This window comes from Homo sapiens, chromosome 12, assembly GCF_000001405.40.
Source record: "Homo sapiens chromosome 12, GRCh38.p14 Primary Assembly".
Taxonomy (NCBI): Eukaryota; Metazoa; Chordata; class Mammalia; order Primates; family Hominidae; genus Homo; species Homo sapiens.
Genome location: NC_000012.12, coordinates 32,630,810 through 32,648,896, shown reverse-complemented (window position 1 = coordinate 32,648,896; position 18,087 = coordinate 32,630,810). Strand labels below are relative to the sequence as shown.

Genomic DNA, 18,087 nt, shown 5'->3' with positions numbered 1-18,087 from the left:
GGAAAAGTGGAGTGAAGAGGCTTACGTTGGGAAGAATTATAGCAGGTTTTCGCTAATAAGATTCAAGAAGAAATCTGACATTACATGAGAAAGGGAGAATGGCAGGCGAATGGGAAATTGGATACTGTGCACAGGTGAGGGACCCAATTAGGACAGGACATGGATAGGCAGGGAGAGAGAGTATATGGTCTCAAGAGGTAATAGGTGGCTTAGATATGGTTGTGGGAGGCTGTCCCCTGCTGATTGCTTGTATTTTACTAAAGTGGGAAGGAAGGTCATCTATTGGGATGGAGGATTGGGGATACAGTGGAGGTCTCAGGAGGAAGTAGTGATGACCTAGTAATAAATTTTAGGTGAAACCAATCTGCTTTGTTCAGCCACATGGGTACAAGTATGAAAACAGAACTGAGTAAACTGGGGATTTGGTTTTGCCAAGCGAGACAAAGCTAGACGTGGCGAAGGAAGTGAGTGAATGTGAGGGAGTGATCAGTGACTGAACATCGGATTTAAAATGGGTAAGGGTAGAAGAGAGGACATCAAGAGCTGAGGGACAAATTATTAGCTTTTTAAAATCTGTTTTCTTTCTTTTTTTTGGAGAGGGGGAGGTAGGGACAGAGTTTCACCCTTGTTGCCCAGGCTGGAGTGCGATGGCACTATCTCAGCTCACTGCAACCTCCACCTCCCGGGTTCAAACAATTCTCCTGCCTCAGCCTCCCAAATAGTTGGGATTACAGGCGTGCGCAACCATGCCCAGCTAATTTTGTATTTTTAGTAGAGACAGGGTTTCACCATGTTGGTCGGGCTGTTTTTGAACTCCTGACCTCAAGTGATCCACCTACCTCCGACTCCCAAAGTGCTGGGATTACAGGCATGAGCCACCACGCCTGGCCAAATCTGTTTTCTTATCTGAATCTTAGAATGTTATTGTGAGGCTTTTATGTGATAATGTAAATACAGTACTTAGCACAGAACTAAGCACTGAATAAACATTCTACCAGTGCTTCTGAAATGAAGCTTTCCATCAGAATCACCTGGGGAATTTTTGAACCGACTATTACTCGGAGGCCAATGCAGACAAATAAATAGAATTTTTGAGGGGGATGGGGATGGGGACCAGGGAATGGCTCTAACTACTCTGCAGGTGATTCACATGTGCAGTCAGGGCTGCAAATTTTTGAATTAACAAAAATGATCTCTATTAACAATTATGAACTGAATATCTCATATGGGCCAGACAATATATGATTGTCTCATGTAAGTCTCACAAGTCTTCAAGGCTCAAACATAAGTGGTAGAGCCAGGGATTTCTAGTCAATGGTCTCGGACACTAAGTCCTTCCCACTATAAGCTTGGTACTCCAGTGATGGTTTGAGGAGCAGCAGCACCCCTCGGGAGCTTGTTAGAACTGCATCGCAGGCCACTATGTCAGTCTGCAGTTTAACAAGATCCCCAGGTGATTCATGTGTACATTAGAGTTTGAGAAGCCTTGAATTATGCCACTCTGATGTAATGTGGACCCAAATCACATTTGGGTCCCTTTGTGAGCCAAGGGCAATGTTTATTTTACAGAATCCTTCAGCTGATGCCAATTGCTTTAAAGCATCAATTTTAAAATTGTTGATTAGTTCTTCGTGTCCTAAAAAAGCTAATAGGCTTCTGCGAAGGGTTATCTCTGGAAATGTTTTAGTTATGAAATCACAGTGGAAGTCATGAGGATTCCTTTTCAGGGCTTTAAAAAGGCTAAAGCCAATTGAGTAGCTGTATGAAACTCCGAAGTGTTCCATGACATATTATTTGTATAGCGTTTCATAGTCACCGAGTGCGATGTTTCTTGTAGTGACCACAGGAATTCATTATTGGGATTCAGGTAAATTGTCTAAGGTCATATGACCAGTAAGACAAGGACTAAGACTTTTTTTTTTTTTTTGAGACAGAATCTCACTCTGTCACCCAGGCTGGAGTGCAGTGGCGCCATCTCAGTTCACTGCAACCTCCGCCTCCCGGGTTCACGCCATTCTCCTGTCTCAGCCACTCGGGTAGCTCGGACTACAGGCACCCGCTACCACACCCGGCTAATTTTTTGTATTTTTAGTAGGGACAGGGTTTCACTGTGTTAGCCAGGATGGTCTCAATCTCCTGACCTCATGATCTGCCTGCCTCGGCCTCCTAAAGTGCTGGGATTACAGGTGTGAGCCACCATACCCGGCCTCAACAGTTCTTTTGAGTTCTCTTTTCGTGCTTATTTCACTATACAGTTGACCCTTGAACAACACAGGATTGAAGCACAGGTCCTTATATGTGGACTTTTTTTCAATAAATAGCCCTCTGCATTGATGGATTCCACATTTACAACCAAATGTGGATGAAAACACGGTATTCCATCAGGATGCAAAACCCACCAATACGGAGGTTTGACTCAGTATCTGTGGGTTCCAGAGAGCTCAGGGACTTGAGTATGAGCAGATTTGGGTACCTGTGAGTGGTCCTGGAACCAGTCTCCCATAGACACTGTGGGCCGACTGGATAAGCCTCTAGAATGTAGGCAAACACCACAAACTATGGAGCAAAACAATCGTTTCCTTGGGTATGGAGCAGCACTGTTTTGTCGGTTGTTGGAGATCTAGACTTGGAGTTATAACAAAGAGAAGCCACTGTTTCTATACTTGGAGAACCTTGAGTCTGTCATAAGCTTTATTCTTGAAAGACTTACACTTTTTTTTTTTTTTTTTTGGCAGAGGGTAGGTTGGAGGTAGGAGTATCAGTACCTTACTGGAGTAACTTTCCTGAGCAGAACTGAAATCACTGTGAACTGAACATGAGCTGAAATAACATGTAAAGCTTTGGAATTAATTTAAGGATGTGTTTATTTACAAGATACAAATGTTTAATATTTAATAGGAATTAAAGTGCTTAATTTTACAATGTTTCCAATTATCTGCTTTTATGACCAAATATACATATATTACACAATATATACATTATCTGCAAGTATTTTACATTCACATAGCTAGAAAAGAAAAATTACTTGTGTATACTTTCACACTTGAGTCAACTGTAAAATTCCAAAAACATACATTCTCAAACTTATCAGTCAAGAATTCAAAAGAAAAATCCAGATACGCTTATTTTATTTTTTGAGTCGAAGTCTTGCTCTGTCACCCAGGCCGGAGTGCAGTGGTGCAATCTCGGCTCACTGCAACCTCTGTCTCCCGGGTTCAAGCAATTCTCCTGCCTCAACCTCCCGAGTAGCTGGGATTACAGGCATGTGCCACCACACCTGGCTAATTTTTGTAGAGACAGGGTTTTGCCATGTTGGCCAGGCTGGTCTCGAACTCCTCGGCCTCCCAAAGTGCTGGGATTACAGGCATGGGCTACCGTGCCTGGCCCAGATACACTTATTTTGTTTTATTTTTATTTAGTAGAGACAGGGTTTCACCATGTTGGCCAGGCTGGTCTCAAACTCCTGACCTGAAGTGATCTGCCCACCTCGGCCTCCCAAGGGCTGGGATTACAGGCATGAGCCACTATGCCCGGCCTATGCTTATTTTAAAATGTCAATTGTCACTCACAAAATGAAATGCTAGTTTGGTTAAAAAAAAAAAAGTCTTATATACAGACAGACATGACTGTTTTGCTAATGAAGAGAACCCCCCACAAGTGATACATTCCAATATCCATATACTGTGTAATATATAATGTGATTCTCTTATAATGGTCCCCACAGACTAGTTTCTTCCCAAACCTATATGTCACTATGTATTTGGTATTTATTTATTAAAGTATGATATGAGATTTCTTGATTTACGTTTTCCACTAAAACTACCACAATGAATTTTGGGAAAAGGGGTTGACCATCATATAACTCCCGGTGACCCCAACAAGTTAAAACTATCTTGTAGAAGCCATGTGCTATTTCATGTCAAAATACAGGAAAAGATACTGCATTCTGCCAAATGCTCAGTCCAGAAAGTAGAAGACCATGATTGACTTCAGATTTTTTTTTTTTTTGCCTCAGTAAACAGTACAGAAAATGATCTGAGAATGAAATTATTTTTTAAAAGCCCAAAGGAGAAAAAGAATAACAAGATATCATAGTCTAGCATTTACAGGCCAAGGTCAAAAACCTGGGTGCAATGGATCCCATCAGCATGTAATTACATAGATTTTATATCCCTTCTGCAGTTAAAATATTTCATCTTATCTTAAAACACATTGCTGTGGTCTGGAGACCAGCAGTCTCTCCCCCACATCTCTCTTCATTCTTGCTTGTTTCAGTTTCTTATCTTATTCCTCTCTGCCCTTTCTGTAAAGAAAGCAAAGTTATCTTCTCATGACTACGTGATTAAGGGGTATATATAAGGATGAATTATACATAAAGATCCATGTAAATAATTTATGTTAAAATATTTAAGTTAAACAATTTCGATAGAAAAAGTTCATTTCTATGGAAAGACAGAATTGCAAATCAACAGTGTTTTTACATATATACATACATGTATAAATTCACAGAAAGGGTTTTTTAAGTTGACCTAGTGGTCTTTATGTATCATAGTCATTTTCTAAAGCTGAGAATCTATAGTAGATAATAGTATGCAAATAACAAGAAGTTTGATTCTAATAAAATTGGTAAGAATGAAGAAGCAACATGATCCACTACAGATGTCAATACAGTCTGAAGAATAGGAACTGGTTGGCCACAGTTCATATACTAATACATTCTTGGAGAATACAAAATTTAAGAATGAAAACATTAAGACATTCTTGACTTTTGAGTTAATTTTAGCTTATAAATATCATGTGCTTAATCTTAGACCCACTAACACAAATATCATATGATATAGGAAATCTTCATTAATCTATTCTGCATTATAGCAAAGATACCTATAAAACCCAAGACGCTTGTTCCCTAGAAGTTTACTTGCTCCGGTTGGTGCTTGCTACTCAGGTTGTATCTAGTCCAGAAAGATCATCAGAAATTTATCACAGACAATATGCTCAGATTAAGAACTTAAGGCTTTGAATATAACCAGAAAACAAATAAAAGCAACCACCCTGTTTCCAAAAAGTAAGGACAAGGAAAAGTAAAACAGAATTGTGAACTCAAAAGTATTTTTGACAAAAGTTTTTAGAAGGCATCAAAGAATCTTTAACAACCCTGCAGTACCACAAACTTTATCGTTTTCTTTATATATTTATAACTAGAACAAGTGTTCTTAAAAAAAAAAAATCCAAACGTGTGCGTATATATATATGGGGAAAGGGTACATTTAAAAGGTTAGTTTCTGTAAAAAGTTTAATAATTTTTAAAAAAATTGGGGTAAGTTAAGTCACCTAGTGAAGATAAGTACACAAACCTGATGTCAAATTAAACTTCAGGGAAAACAAAATGTGCTTTTTCTATCCATTTTCTTTGTTAAAGTAAAAATGTTCTTGATAGTTATTTAAAATCCAAGGAATGATGCCCCTTCCCATTTCCCTTCCTTATACTCTGCAATTCGAATTACCGTATCACATCTAGAAAGTTAATAATTATCTATATTCTTGTGGGAAGGGGCCTTCATATTAAATTTTCAGTATAAAACCATACCCTAAAGAGTTTTATTGCTTGCATACATGATGACACTGTGATGCCATTATTACAAAAGTGGCTGGTGTTTTTTATTGAGCCCCACTTAAAACCAAGATAAAAGTCTGCACTATATTTCATACTTAACACGCCAAATGGTAGGCTTTCAGCAAAAGCAAAATTTAAGCTTAAAATATTGAAATGTTTTATAATGAATAGAAATTTTGTCAAGGAAGTACTTTTTAAAGTTTGGAGGAAGGGCACTTTAAAGAAAAGATGACTTGGAAAGCACCAAATGAGTGAAAATAAAGAATTAAGACCCACAGGGAACGTTGGTTTTAATGGGAAAGCAACCAATGATATTTTTAGGTTGTCATGACTGCTCAAGTATGTTGGAAGGGAAAAGGCATTGATTATTCTTATCATCAATCACACTTTGAGGTCTCTTGGTTGAATTGTTTAATAAATGGCTAAGGGTATTACTTTACCTTTCATTGAGTAAAAACATCAGTGATTCTTTAATAAGAGAGAAGCGGGTAAGGCTGTTTCACTGCTTCTCTTTGCGTTTAGCTGAAGAATGTGGGGTGGAAAGTGAATATGGTGACCGGATAACCAGAAATTCTCTTCTAGTATTAATGCTTCTCATTTAAAAAATTAAAGATAATGACTGTTAAGAGCATGATAATAAACATTATCTTTACATGAGTATTCTTTCAATGATCTAAGTTAAATAACATTGATATTTATTGAGCCAAAACTTAAGTGTGTCCATGTTACTTCTGTTTTGGTAGGGAAAGTGTAGTCTTCTTGCTTTTAAAAATAGTTTTCAAAAATAATCTGACTTATAAATCTTCCCATTGGCCCATACATTACCATTGTTCTAGTCACACTTACAAAAGTCCTCTTCCCCAGTTAATCATTCTGTATTTCCATTGCTTCTCTTTTCTTGAGATTAAGAAAACCAAAGCATCATCTATAGCTACAGTTTAATTTTCCAAAAAACCACTCTGAGTATACATCACACACATACCCCGCTGGCCATTAAAAAAGAGAAGCAATGTAAATTTTCTTCTAGTCTTTCCCTGATTTAATAGGGCCTAAGAAGCTACTTTTATCTCTTTTTGGCTCCATCTATTTGGTTTAATGTTAATGATCATGGCTGATAATCCTTTTATGGAGGAAGGGAACCTATTATGTCAGCAATAATTGGTTCACTTGCTCCTTTGGGGTGGAAAAAATAAGATATTTCTTAAAGTAACAAGGCCTGAATAAATGTGTGGCAGTCTCAAATTCTATTCTATATCTAAGGTGTAATCCTTACATACTAAAGATAGTGGGATCATTCTTGTAGATTTCTAGCAGACTGGTACATTAAAAAGTGACAATGTTTGGGGTATGACAGTATAAAAAAAGGTTTAATTTGAGAAAAAGGATTAAGTTAAATAGTAAACTTAGTGTGAGATTTTAATCACAAGTACAAAAGAGTGAAGAGCAGCCTTCATGACAAGGAATCATGTGACCAGCCCCCACCCCAAACATAGGTTATCACATGTGGATTTTGTTTCATTCCGACAAAGGAAAAGGCCCATACAGTTATCTTAAGTGTTCATTATATAGAGACCTTATTTAACCATGCTCGATTATCTTACGGAAAAGAAAAACATTACGATAAATGTGGTTTCCACATATCCTAGTTCTGTAAAAGGTCAGGTGTCTCATAAAGTTTGGGTTTTGGTGAAAATGTTTGTACATGCTGATGTTAACTACTGCAATAATTATAGGATTGTAAACGGTAAAATAACCTGTATGACTTTGACTGTCCCAGTGACCAAAATGCACTTTAATCTTAGAATAATCAAGACTGAAGCATTAACTGAACCCTCATCTTATATTAATAGCACCTTCTAAGAGAGGCACTGTTTTAAATAGGCACAGAAACAAAAAATGGTACTTTAAAAGTACTGTTGGAATTCACAAATATATCCCATGCCACATAAATTACCGCTTATTATAAAAATATCAATACCCTCAAATGCCAATCAGCAAAACATAAATCACCAAAACATTTCTTCAGTTTAGAACATTGCTCAATTCCACGATAAACCATGCTTTATATTTAAAAAATAAATTAGAGATGAATGTGAACCTAAAAGCATGTATAATATATATATTTAATACTATATATACATAATTGCTATATACTTAAGACATTCTTAGGAGTATTTCTACAAAAACAAGTTATCTTTTCTTTATAAATCGGAAATCTGAACACCAACAATTTGTCCTTTTTCTTTTGTTTTAAAAGAACAGACATCATTTATGCAGCTAGAGATTTATAAACTAAATTAAATAAGTTAATACAATAGCCTCAACTGTCCCTGTATTTTTCACCATGGATCTATTTTGGCAACATGGAGGTATATCTTTCAAACTGTTCCAGGTCCTACATGTGAAAGAGAAGAAGACATGAAAGGATTTCTTAAATGGAAGTGCTCATTCTAACCTGACGGTGACAGAATCAATTGATACACCATTTCTTCAAGACAAAAAAGCACATATTCAAGGAATAGCTCAAAAAATGCTCCAGTTTTCACATTATTTCAAAACTTTATCGGTAGAATGACTCTGCACACTAATTTCACTAAGAGTACATAAACATAGGAAAATAGTCCTCAAAAGATGCATTTATGGGCCTATATTTTTCAACATAAAGTGCTAGCAGATGTGTAAGAAGAGCTGGGAATGTCTTGAGCTGTAAGTCCTGAGACCTCCACACCATGGCTGGTCCTGGAGGAGTTCAGCATTCTGATTTTTTCTTAGGTTCAGGATGATCATCCAAGGTGGCTGGATGCTCATTTGGACCACCTGGTGTCTCACCTGTGACAGCTAAAAGGATGACTTTCAGCCACTTCTGCTTCAGTTCCTCACTGTCTGCAGCAAAGCTGTGCACGGACTTAGACTGGGTCAGTTTGAAACTGTGTGGCAGGTCTGCGCTCCTTGGCATTTCATCCACCACATAGCCCAGAAGTGGAATGGTGGCCTGGGCTCTGACGTCCTAAAGAAAAGACATCAGACATTAAAAGCAGGTGATGTATTCGCTTGTTAAGTGTGTCCCTTGCTCCTACTAAACCTCTCTTCCTACCACTGTCCCAAACAGACTTAAACGGTGAGTTCTCCATGGGCACAGAGGGCAATCCCATTGCTTAGTACAGAGCCTGTACGTGAGGCCACTGATAATGTTAGCTGAATGAATGAGAGCTGACACCCAAATCAGCTAGGACTCAGAGACACTACACCCTCCTCTCTGTGAAAAGAGCCTTTCAACTCTTCATTCAGTGAAAAGGGGAAGAAAAATCGCCATCATACTGTATTAAACCAGCAAACAGTAATGAGAATCTCATTACTAAAGGCAGTTTTATCTGGTGATTCACTTATTCCATCAACTTATTTATGGACATAGAAAGCTTATAGGAAAAGCAATAAAGGAGAGTAAACTATATAGCCTGTCATTTTCAGTCTATTTTCAAAATAAAATAATTTTACCAGCCCTTAATTTATAGACTGAAATACAACAGGTATATGTAAAATTTTTATATTTCAGAGTAAATGCATAACTGGTTTAAGTGTTGTACATTTGATTCTTCAAGCACAACACAATCATAGGACCTGGTGCTGCTCTTGTTAAAAGCTAAACCTGCATATCATTGTTCCCATAGATTTATCTCAGATCCATATACGTGGGGTTCTCAAAAAAATTGCTACTGAATGATAATGCAAGACTGATTTTAAGTTCCCCTTCCTCTCAAACTCCTTTTTCAGATATCTATCCATTGAGCAAAAAGAAAAAATAAAATAAAAAACAAAATTGGCTGGGCGCAGTGGCTCACGCCTGTATTACCAGCACTTTGGGAGGCCGAGGTGGGCGGATCACCTGAGGTCAGGAGTTCAAGACCAGCCTGATCAACATGGTGAAACCCTGTCTCTACTAAAAATATAAAAATTAGCCAGGTGTGGTGGTGGGTACATGTAATCCCAGCTACTCGGGAGGCTGAGGCAGATGAATCACTTGAACCCAGGAGGTGGAGGTTGCAGTGAGCCAAGATTGCACCATTGCACTATAGCCTGGGTGACATGAGCAAAACTCTGTCACAAAGAAAACAACAACACAACAAACAAACAAACAAAAAACAAAATTAAAAAGTCTTTTCTTAATGTTTCCTATCATTAAAAAGGCTTGTTTCTCCCGTTTGCTTCCCCTTCTCCTCATGCTCATTCCTAATTCAACTCATCTTTTCTCAAACCCATTGAATGAGACAAGAAAGGGGACAGATGATCCACAAACTGAAGAAAATATAGGCTATAAAATGAATCAATCAGCTTAAACAACAAACTTGAACTTTACTCATTATTTTTCAATTTTAATGAAACAGTGAAACTGCCTGAACTCTTGTTCTACAGATTTTGAGTCCGCTGTCCACTCGCTTCCCCTTGCCCCCAAGGGCATCTGTCCCTTCAGACAGATGTGGTTTAGATACCTGGGGGGCACCATACATGTACAGCACAAGAGGGTCTTGCTTGGGGATCACACACCAAGCTTTCTGCCAAGGTTTTGACTTCTCCATATACTGAAGAAAGCTGCACACCACACTGTTTCCAGATACTTCTGCTGATTCAATCTAGAAAAATATAATGGAAAGACAGAATGAACACACAACAAATCAGATAGAGAAATATTCACAAAGTACAATGTGTTTATACAAAATGTTTCCCTGGACTATCCAAAAAAGATTCATTTGCAATTATTGTTTAAACATTTTAACATGGAAAATATTTAAGCCAATTTTAGCTCTTTACGTAACTAGACCTTGAATTTAAAGAGTTAAGTGTTTATTGATTGCTTACTATGTAGGCACTTTCCTTAGCTCAATACATGTCTTATTTCATTTAATCCTCACACCAACACTGAGAAGGTAGTATTTTCATTTTTTCTGAGGCTCAGAGTTTAAATAGCTTTCCCAAGATCACACATTGGCATGCTGGGATTTGAACCCAGAGAGTCTGAATCCAGAGTCTGAACTTCGATCCTCTGCCTCAGCCTCTCAAGTAGCTGGGAGAGAATTTTTAAATTTTTTGTAGAAACAGGGTCTCACTACATTGCCCACACTGGTCTTGAACTCCTGGCCTCAAGCAATCCTCCCACCTTGGCCTCCCAAAGTGCTGGGATTACAGGGGTGAGTCACTGTGCCCAGAACAGAGCCTGAACTTTTAACGACAATGCGATACCTACTTCAATTAAGAAAGAATATAAAAGCAAAAAGGCAAATAGTAACCAGCAATCTTTGTTTGAGTACACCTAATTAAAGATTTTTTCAGTGCAATCAATTTTTGTAGAGTGATATGGTTAGGCCTTGTGTCCCCACCCAAATCTCATCTTCAATTGTAATCCCCACGATCCCCATGTGTCGAGGGAGAGACCTGATAGGAGGTAACTGGATCATGGGGGCAGTGTCCCCCATGCTGTTCTCGTGATCGTGAGTTCTCATGAGATCTGATGGTTTTGTAAGTGTCTGACAGTTCTTCCTTCATACACTTGCTCACTCTCGCTTGCCACCATGTAAGATGTGCCTCTTCCCCTTCTGCCATGATTGTACGTTTTCTGAGGCCTCCCCAGCCATGCGGAACTGTGAGTCAATTAAGCCTTATTTATTATTTATTTATTTATTTATTTATTCATAGAGATGGAGTCTTGCTCTGTCACCCAGGCTGGAGTGCAATGGCACGATCTCAGCTCACTGCAAGCTCCACCTCCCAGGTTCTCACCATTCTCCTGCCTCAGCCTCCTGAGTAACTGGGACTACAGGCACTCACCACCACGCTTGGCTAATTTTTTGTACTTTTAGTAGAGATGGGGTTTAACTGTGTTAGCCAGGATGGTCTCGATCTCCTGACCTCGTGATCTGCCTGCCTTGGCCTCCCAAAGTGCTGGGATTACAGGCGTGAGCCACCATGCCCGGCCAAGCCTCCTTTATTTATAAATAACCCAGTCTTGGGTATGTCTTTATAGCAGTGTGAGTACAGACTAATACATAGAGCCATTTAATTTTTCTATTTTGCCTCCTAATATAAAAATTGTTGGCTAAAAGGCTGGGTGCGGTGGCTCACACGTGTAATCCCCGCACTTTGGGAGGCAGAGGCAGGTAGATCACTTGAGGCCAGGAGTTTGAGACAAGCCTGGCCAACACAGTGAAACCCTGCCTCTACTAAAAAAAAAAAAAAAAAAAAGAAGAAAAAAATTAGCCAGGTGTGGTGGCACATGCTTGTAATCCCAGCTACTCAGGAGGCTGAGACATAAGAATTGCTTGGACCGGGGAGGCAGAGATTGCAGTGAGCTGAGATCGCACCACTGCACTCCAGCCTGGGTGACAGAGCAAGACTCTGTCTAAAAAAAAAAAAAAAAGAAAAAAAATACTGAAAAAAGGAACAAAACCATTTAACTAAATGGTAGTTTTTATTATATGCCTTATGGAAACTAACTGGTTTGCTTCTATTTTCTGTCTCCAAAACCCTTCAGGTAGTGCTACTCAGTGTTATTCATGTTGGTCTCCAGGTCTGCAAATGGTTTATGTTACCAGTTTCTGGTAAGCACACAAAGTAGGAGTAAGTATTAAACTTTTATAACAATTTGAATTTGTGATGATAACCAAGTGCATTACAGTGTATTTTACAAAAACACTGATCTGTGATAGTTCAGGAAAAAAAAACTGATGCTTCAGCATAGACAATTTTTTTTTTTTTTTGAGACGGAGTTTAGCTCTTGTTGCCCAGGCTGGAGTGCAATGGTTCAATCTTGGCTCACTGACACCTCCGCCGCCCAGGTTCAAGCGATTATCCTGCCTCAGCCTCCCAAGTAGCTGGGATTACAGGCACACGCCACCAGGCCCGGCTAATTTTTGTATTTTTAGTAGAATGGGGTTTCACCATGTTCGTCAGGCTGGTCTCGAACTCCTGTCCTCGGGTGATCCACCCACCTCAGCCTTGGTGCTAGGATTATAGGCGTGAGCCACACCGCACCTGGCCACAGACAATTTTTAAAGCAGCACTGGTTAGCAGACGATAACTCACAAGCCAAATCCAGCCTACCAGTTGTTTTTGTATGGCCCATGAGCCAGGGTGTTTTTTTACGCGACCACTTACAATTAATTTGATGATAGGGAACGCTAACTTCAGATTCCAATTAAGTGAATGGTTATCCTCCCCCAAAGAATTCCATTCTTATTAGTAGATCCTTATTATTATTATTATTATTATTATTATTATTAGAGACAGAGTCTCGCCCTGTCACCCAGGCTGGAGTACAATGGCACGATCTCAGCTCACTGCAACCTCCATCTCCCAGGTTCAAGTGATTCTCCTGCCTCAGCCTCCCGAGTAGCTGGGATTACAGGGGCACACCACTACGCGGGCTAATTTTTGTACTTTTAGTAAAGACGGGGTTTCACCATGTTGACCAGGCTGGTCTCGAACTCCTGACCTTGTGATCCGCCCGCCTCAGCCTCCCAAAGTGCTGGGATTACAGGCATGAGCCACTGCGCCCAGCTGATCCATATTATTAAAAAGCCTAAATAAATATAATTTTAATTTTGTAAAAAAAAATTGTGGAAATTTGTTTTCTCTCTTTTTACAAATATGTATGTAATATCCTTGGTTTGGCCTCTTGGTCTGCAAAGACTAAAATATTTTCTCTCTGACTCTTTACAGGAAAGTGTGTTGATCACTGTTCTAGGGCATATAACATACTAGTTGGTACAAAATCAGTCTCGAATATGCATTTAAGTTAATGTGTCCATGTACATACTTGTCTCCTATGTATGGACTTCATACTATATATTTATTTCATTATATGAGTTGACCTAATAAGTAATTCATTAATTTTTCCTCAGTATAAGGTTCTCTAAAATACTAGCTAGGGATTTTTCAGAGATACGGCCTGAAGCTGACCCTAAAACCAAGTTCCCCGACTCATTATATTGTGCCAGTCTCATCAGTTGTCGCTATTAAGTCTTGAGGCTCTGTTCCTGATGTCCAATGAAGCATGTCTTTCCATCCTTACTGCCTGAGAAAGCCCCAGTTTGGTAGGCCATACGAGTAACATCTATACCCTGGAAGAATGATTTTAGTGTGTGGGGCTACACTTAGCCTCAAATGGACCTTGAAGTTTGTAACCCTTTATCAATGAACAGAAGTGACCTTTGTACACTTGTAAGTGTACAGGTATACTTGTACGCTTACACAATGTAAATGCTCAATAAATACTTACTGATTCTTTAGAGATTCTTTTTTTTTTGAGACAGAGTCTAGCTCTGTCACCAGGCTGGAGTGCAGTGGCGCAATCTTGGCTCACTGCAATCTCCGCCTCCCGGGTTCAAGCGATTCTCCTGCCTCAGCCTCCCAAGTAGCTCGGACTACAGGTGTGTGCCACCACACCCAGCTAATTTTTGTATTTTTAGCTGAGATGGGGTTTCACCATTTGGCCAGGATGGTCTTGATCTCTTGACCTCGTGATCCAACTGCCTCAACTTCCCAAAGTGCTGGGATTACAGGCATGAGCCACTGCACCCAGCCTCTTTAGAGATTCTTAATAAACCAAGTATGTCTATGATTTTAGATACATAGCATTTTGATCCTGAGCCTATTCTTCTATAGACTTTCCAGGCTACCTTGAACCTACTGCCACAAAGGCCTTATTATATAACCTGTCCCTTATATTGTTAATATCTCTAGATGTAAAACTCATTTCAGATAAGCTGCGTTATAGTTCTCAGGCTTGGGGTGGGGGGGTCTGAATTTTTTCCAGAACATTAGTCAAATTAACTTGGGAGACATTTCAATAATATTTAATGTAGTTATCAGATTACCATCACTGGCAATTAAATGACTATAGTAAACTAGATATTTTACTATAAAAAGTTGGAAGAGTCTGTCAGGTAATAGCACTTTTATCTAAAGTGGTTTGTAAAGCCAATATGACGAAATTGAGAGTAAAAGCTTTCCTTTATAGAAAACATACTACAATAATTTGGGTATAAGAAGAGATGCCAATTAATACTGAAATATTTGGCTCTAGCTACTGCCACGAAATCAATGTATTTCATTCTTAAATGCATGTTGATTTAACCAGCAGCCCCCCTTTTCTATGCAACCAAGCAGAATCCCAAAAGTCAGCAAAATAGAACAAAAGCATAAATCTTGCTCATTATACAAATTGTTAAACACTCAAAGAAATAACAAAGATATATTATTTGTATTCCTCATAGCTAAGAGGATTTTATTTCTTCTGTAAAAATCTAGGCTGGGGTGCGTTGGCTCATGCCTGTAATCCCAGCACTTTGGGAGGCCGAGGTGGGCAGATCACCTGAGGTCAGGAGTTTGAGACCAGCTGGCCAACATGGGGAAACCCCATCCCTACTAAAAATACAAAAATTAGCCGGGCATGGTGGCGTGGGCCTGTAATTCCAGCAACTTGGGAGGCTGAGGTTGCAGTGAGCTGAGATCGTGCCACTGCACCTCAGCCTGGGTGACAGAGCGAGAGTCCGTTGGGAAAAAAATAATCTAAAAGATATCCAATATTTAATATTTCTTACCTCTAAAATTCCTTTTCTTTTCTTTTCTTCACTGTCTGTGAATCCACTTATGATTTGATAACAGTCTTTACAAACTTTGCTCAATTTACCACCATCATATTCAAGTTGAGCTTTGTAGTCGGAGCATTTCCAACAAACCACCTTAAATTTAAAAGAAAAATGAACAGTAATCATATTTAAAGGATATGATTTAAGCAGTAATCAGTTATAGGTAATAATAAATGAGAAAATGTTAAGCATAGAAGGCAGATTTTTGTTAGAAAAGGAACATCCCTATAAACACTAGAAGTACATATCAAGGTGTTTCAACCCTGTTTGTGACCAGCTCTGCTCACTCATCCTTTTCCTGGCCTCTAAAGGTAGAAGACCTTCAAAGACTTTGACTCTTCATACTTCTGGATGTTCATCAACATCCTTTCCAAACTGCTCACGAACTTCCCTGGTCTCTCTTAGCCCATCCCACCCCCTCCTCCCAACCCGGTCCCCTCTCACAGTCCTCTCTATTGCAGGAAATGGGGCAGTCATACAACTGGTCCTGTGTCAGACACATAGGAGTCATCCCCAGAACCTCTTTCGATCTTACCCAAAGATTTTCCATTTTACAAAGTCCCGCTGATTTTACTTCCTAAATATTTCTTAAATCTATTTTTCCACAACTTCCTTATAAGCACCCAAGTCCATGGCGTTTTAGTTTGGCTTCTTTTCTAGGCTTGTGACTGGTCCTTGTAGCATTCTTACTGGTTTACAGGCCTCCACTCTTAAACCTCCTCCAAGCTGTATCTTCCAAACAGTGGAGTGACACCCTCTTAAAAATGCTAATCTGACTGGGTGTGGTGGCTCACACCTATAATCTCAGCACTTTGGGAGGCCGAGAAGGGCAGATGCTTGAGTCCAGGAGTTCCAGACCAGCCTAGATGGAGTGCTAGTGCACTCCAGCCTGGGTGACAAAGCAAGACCCTGTCTCAAAAAAAAAAAATAAATAAATAAATAAATAAATAAAAATAAAAATAAAAATAAAGCTACTCTGATTTATTCCTCTTCTATTTAAAATCTTTCAGACTTTCCTTTGCTCTTGGCTAAAGAACCAACTCTTAATCATGGCCTCCAAAGTCCTGCATAATTTGCCCTCTTTCTGGACTCTGTCTTCAGTGACACTGGCTTCTTATAGTTCCCAAAGGCCATGCTCCCTGCCTCTCTCCTCTCTCCTTCACTGAGTTAACTTAACGCTCACCCTTCAGATGTTGGCTCAAACTCCAGTTCCTCAAGGAGGACTCCTCCAAACCCCAGGACACAGAGTGTCTACTGTCAGTGTTCTCTGTGTTTTCTTTCATAGCACTGACTACAGCTTTTAATTTTATTCCTGTATTATTATTTGATTGTTTATCTCCCTTATAGGGCTGTAAGCTCCAGGAGAGACTGTCTTTGAATGAATGAATATGATGCAAATGTGTATTACTTCTTAGTGATAACTTTTCTCTATTATAGAATAATTGTTTAAAATCTTCTAGTTTAACACATTATCTTCTTGCTTATAGAAGTGTATTTCCCCCTCAGTTTATAGTAGATAAATTATATTAAAGAAAATATATTAGTCAAATTTTTGGTGTAGATTTATAGCATTTAAAATTCATGATAAAAATGGTCTACTGTTTGCTCATAATTACAATGAAATTACTCTGGGATTTAGAATTAGACATACCTGTAACCGCAAACTCATTACCATCCATTTTGTTTATTTTCAAATCATAGCACAGTATTTTGACAATGCACATGCAAACACATTTTTTCTTTGCTTACTGAAGGCAAGTATGCCAATATCAAAAATCATTTCAATCAAACTCAGTGACAGATTTTTAAAAGTCTTACCCTGATAAAAAAGCTGTTTGGGCCAGACATGGTGGCTCATGCTTGCAATCACAGCACTTTGGGAGGCCAAAGCAGGCAGATCACGAGGTCAGGAGTTCAAGACCAGCCTGGCCAGCATGGTGAAACCCCGTCTCTACTAAAAATACAAAAAATTAGCCGGGCATGGTGAAGCCCGCCTGTAGTCCCAGCTACTTGGAAGGCTGAGGCAGAAGAATTGCTTGAACCCAGCAGGTGGAGGTTGCAGTGAGCCAAGATCGCGCCAGTGCACTCCAGCCCGGGTGACAGAGCGAGACTCCGCCTCAAAAAAAAAAAAAAAAAAAGCTGTTTGCTCTCAATTTAATTTTAATCACAAAAGTACTGTAGTGAGTCAAAAATAAGTCTGAGGAAAATAGGAAGAATAAGCTAAAACAACTATCAATATGAATTGTTGCACTTAAGCACACAAATAATATATTCACTCATGACACTGGGAACACCTACTGTTTTCTGTGTCTCCCATTCCTTTTAGGAGAAAGGCTATGATCTTTAACTTGGTTTACAAGGCCCTCCAAAAACTGCCACTGCCTCTCTCCAGCTTCATTCCATAGTTTGTTCCTCACTTTCCATATGAAACTCAGCTCAATGGCTGACCAAATCATGATCAAACTATGTTTATATGTAGCATCAATACATTTAAATATTAGCAATATAGTTATTAACTTACAATCAGAAACATATTTTTGGATAAGGAACTTGAAACTGCATAAACAACAGGGGAATTTATGAAGTATCAAAGAAACACAAAAACCAGAAAAATTATGTTTTTATAGAAGTTTATATAATTTTTTTTTTATTTTTTTGAGATGGGGTCAAGACCTGGGGTCTGTCACCCAGGCTGGAGTGCAGTGGTGTGATCTCGGCTCACAGCAGCCTTGACCTCCTGAGCTCAAGCCGTCCTCCCACCTCAGCCTCCTGAGTAGCTGGGACTACGGGTGTGTGCCACCACACCAGGCTAATTTTTTTTTTTTTTTTGAC

At 39.1% G+C, this 18,087-nt stretch overlaps 1 protein-coding gene across 23 annotated transcripts in view; it reads right to left on the bottom strand.

The window, feature by feature from the left end:
• Positions 2,847 to 18,087, bottom strand: part of FGD4 (FYVE, RhoGEF and PH domain containing 4) — a 246,493-nt gene continuing 231,252 nt past the window's right edge. For 19 of the 23 annotated variants that reach the window (NM_001370298.3, XM_047428291.1, NM_001304481.2 and 16 more), the window contains 3 exons: positions 15,208 to 15,348; positions 10,102 to 10,242; positions 2,847 to 8,621 (listed from right to left, as the gene is read on the bottom strand). In NM_001370298.3, the coding sequence (NP_001357227.2) occupies positions 8,364 to 8,621; positions 10,102 to 10,242; positions 15,208 to 15,348 (540 nt within the window). In that variant the 3' untranslated portion in view covers positions 2,847 to 8,363. Of the gene's footprint in view, positions 8,622 to 9,963; positions 10,243 to 15,207; positions 15,349 to 18,087 lie in introns of those variants that run through there. The other 4 variants (NM_001384126.1, NM_001384127.1, NM_001384128.1 and 1 more) reach the window with 2 other exon arrangements.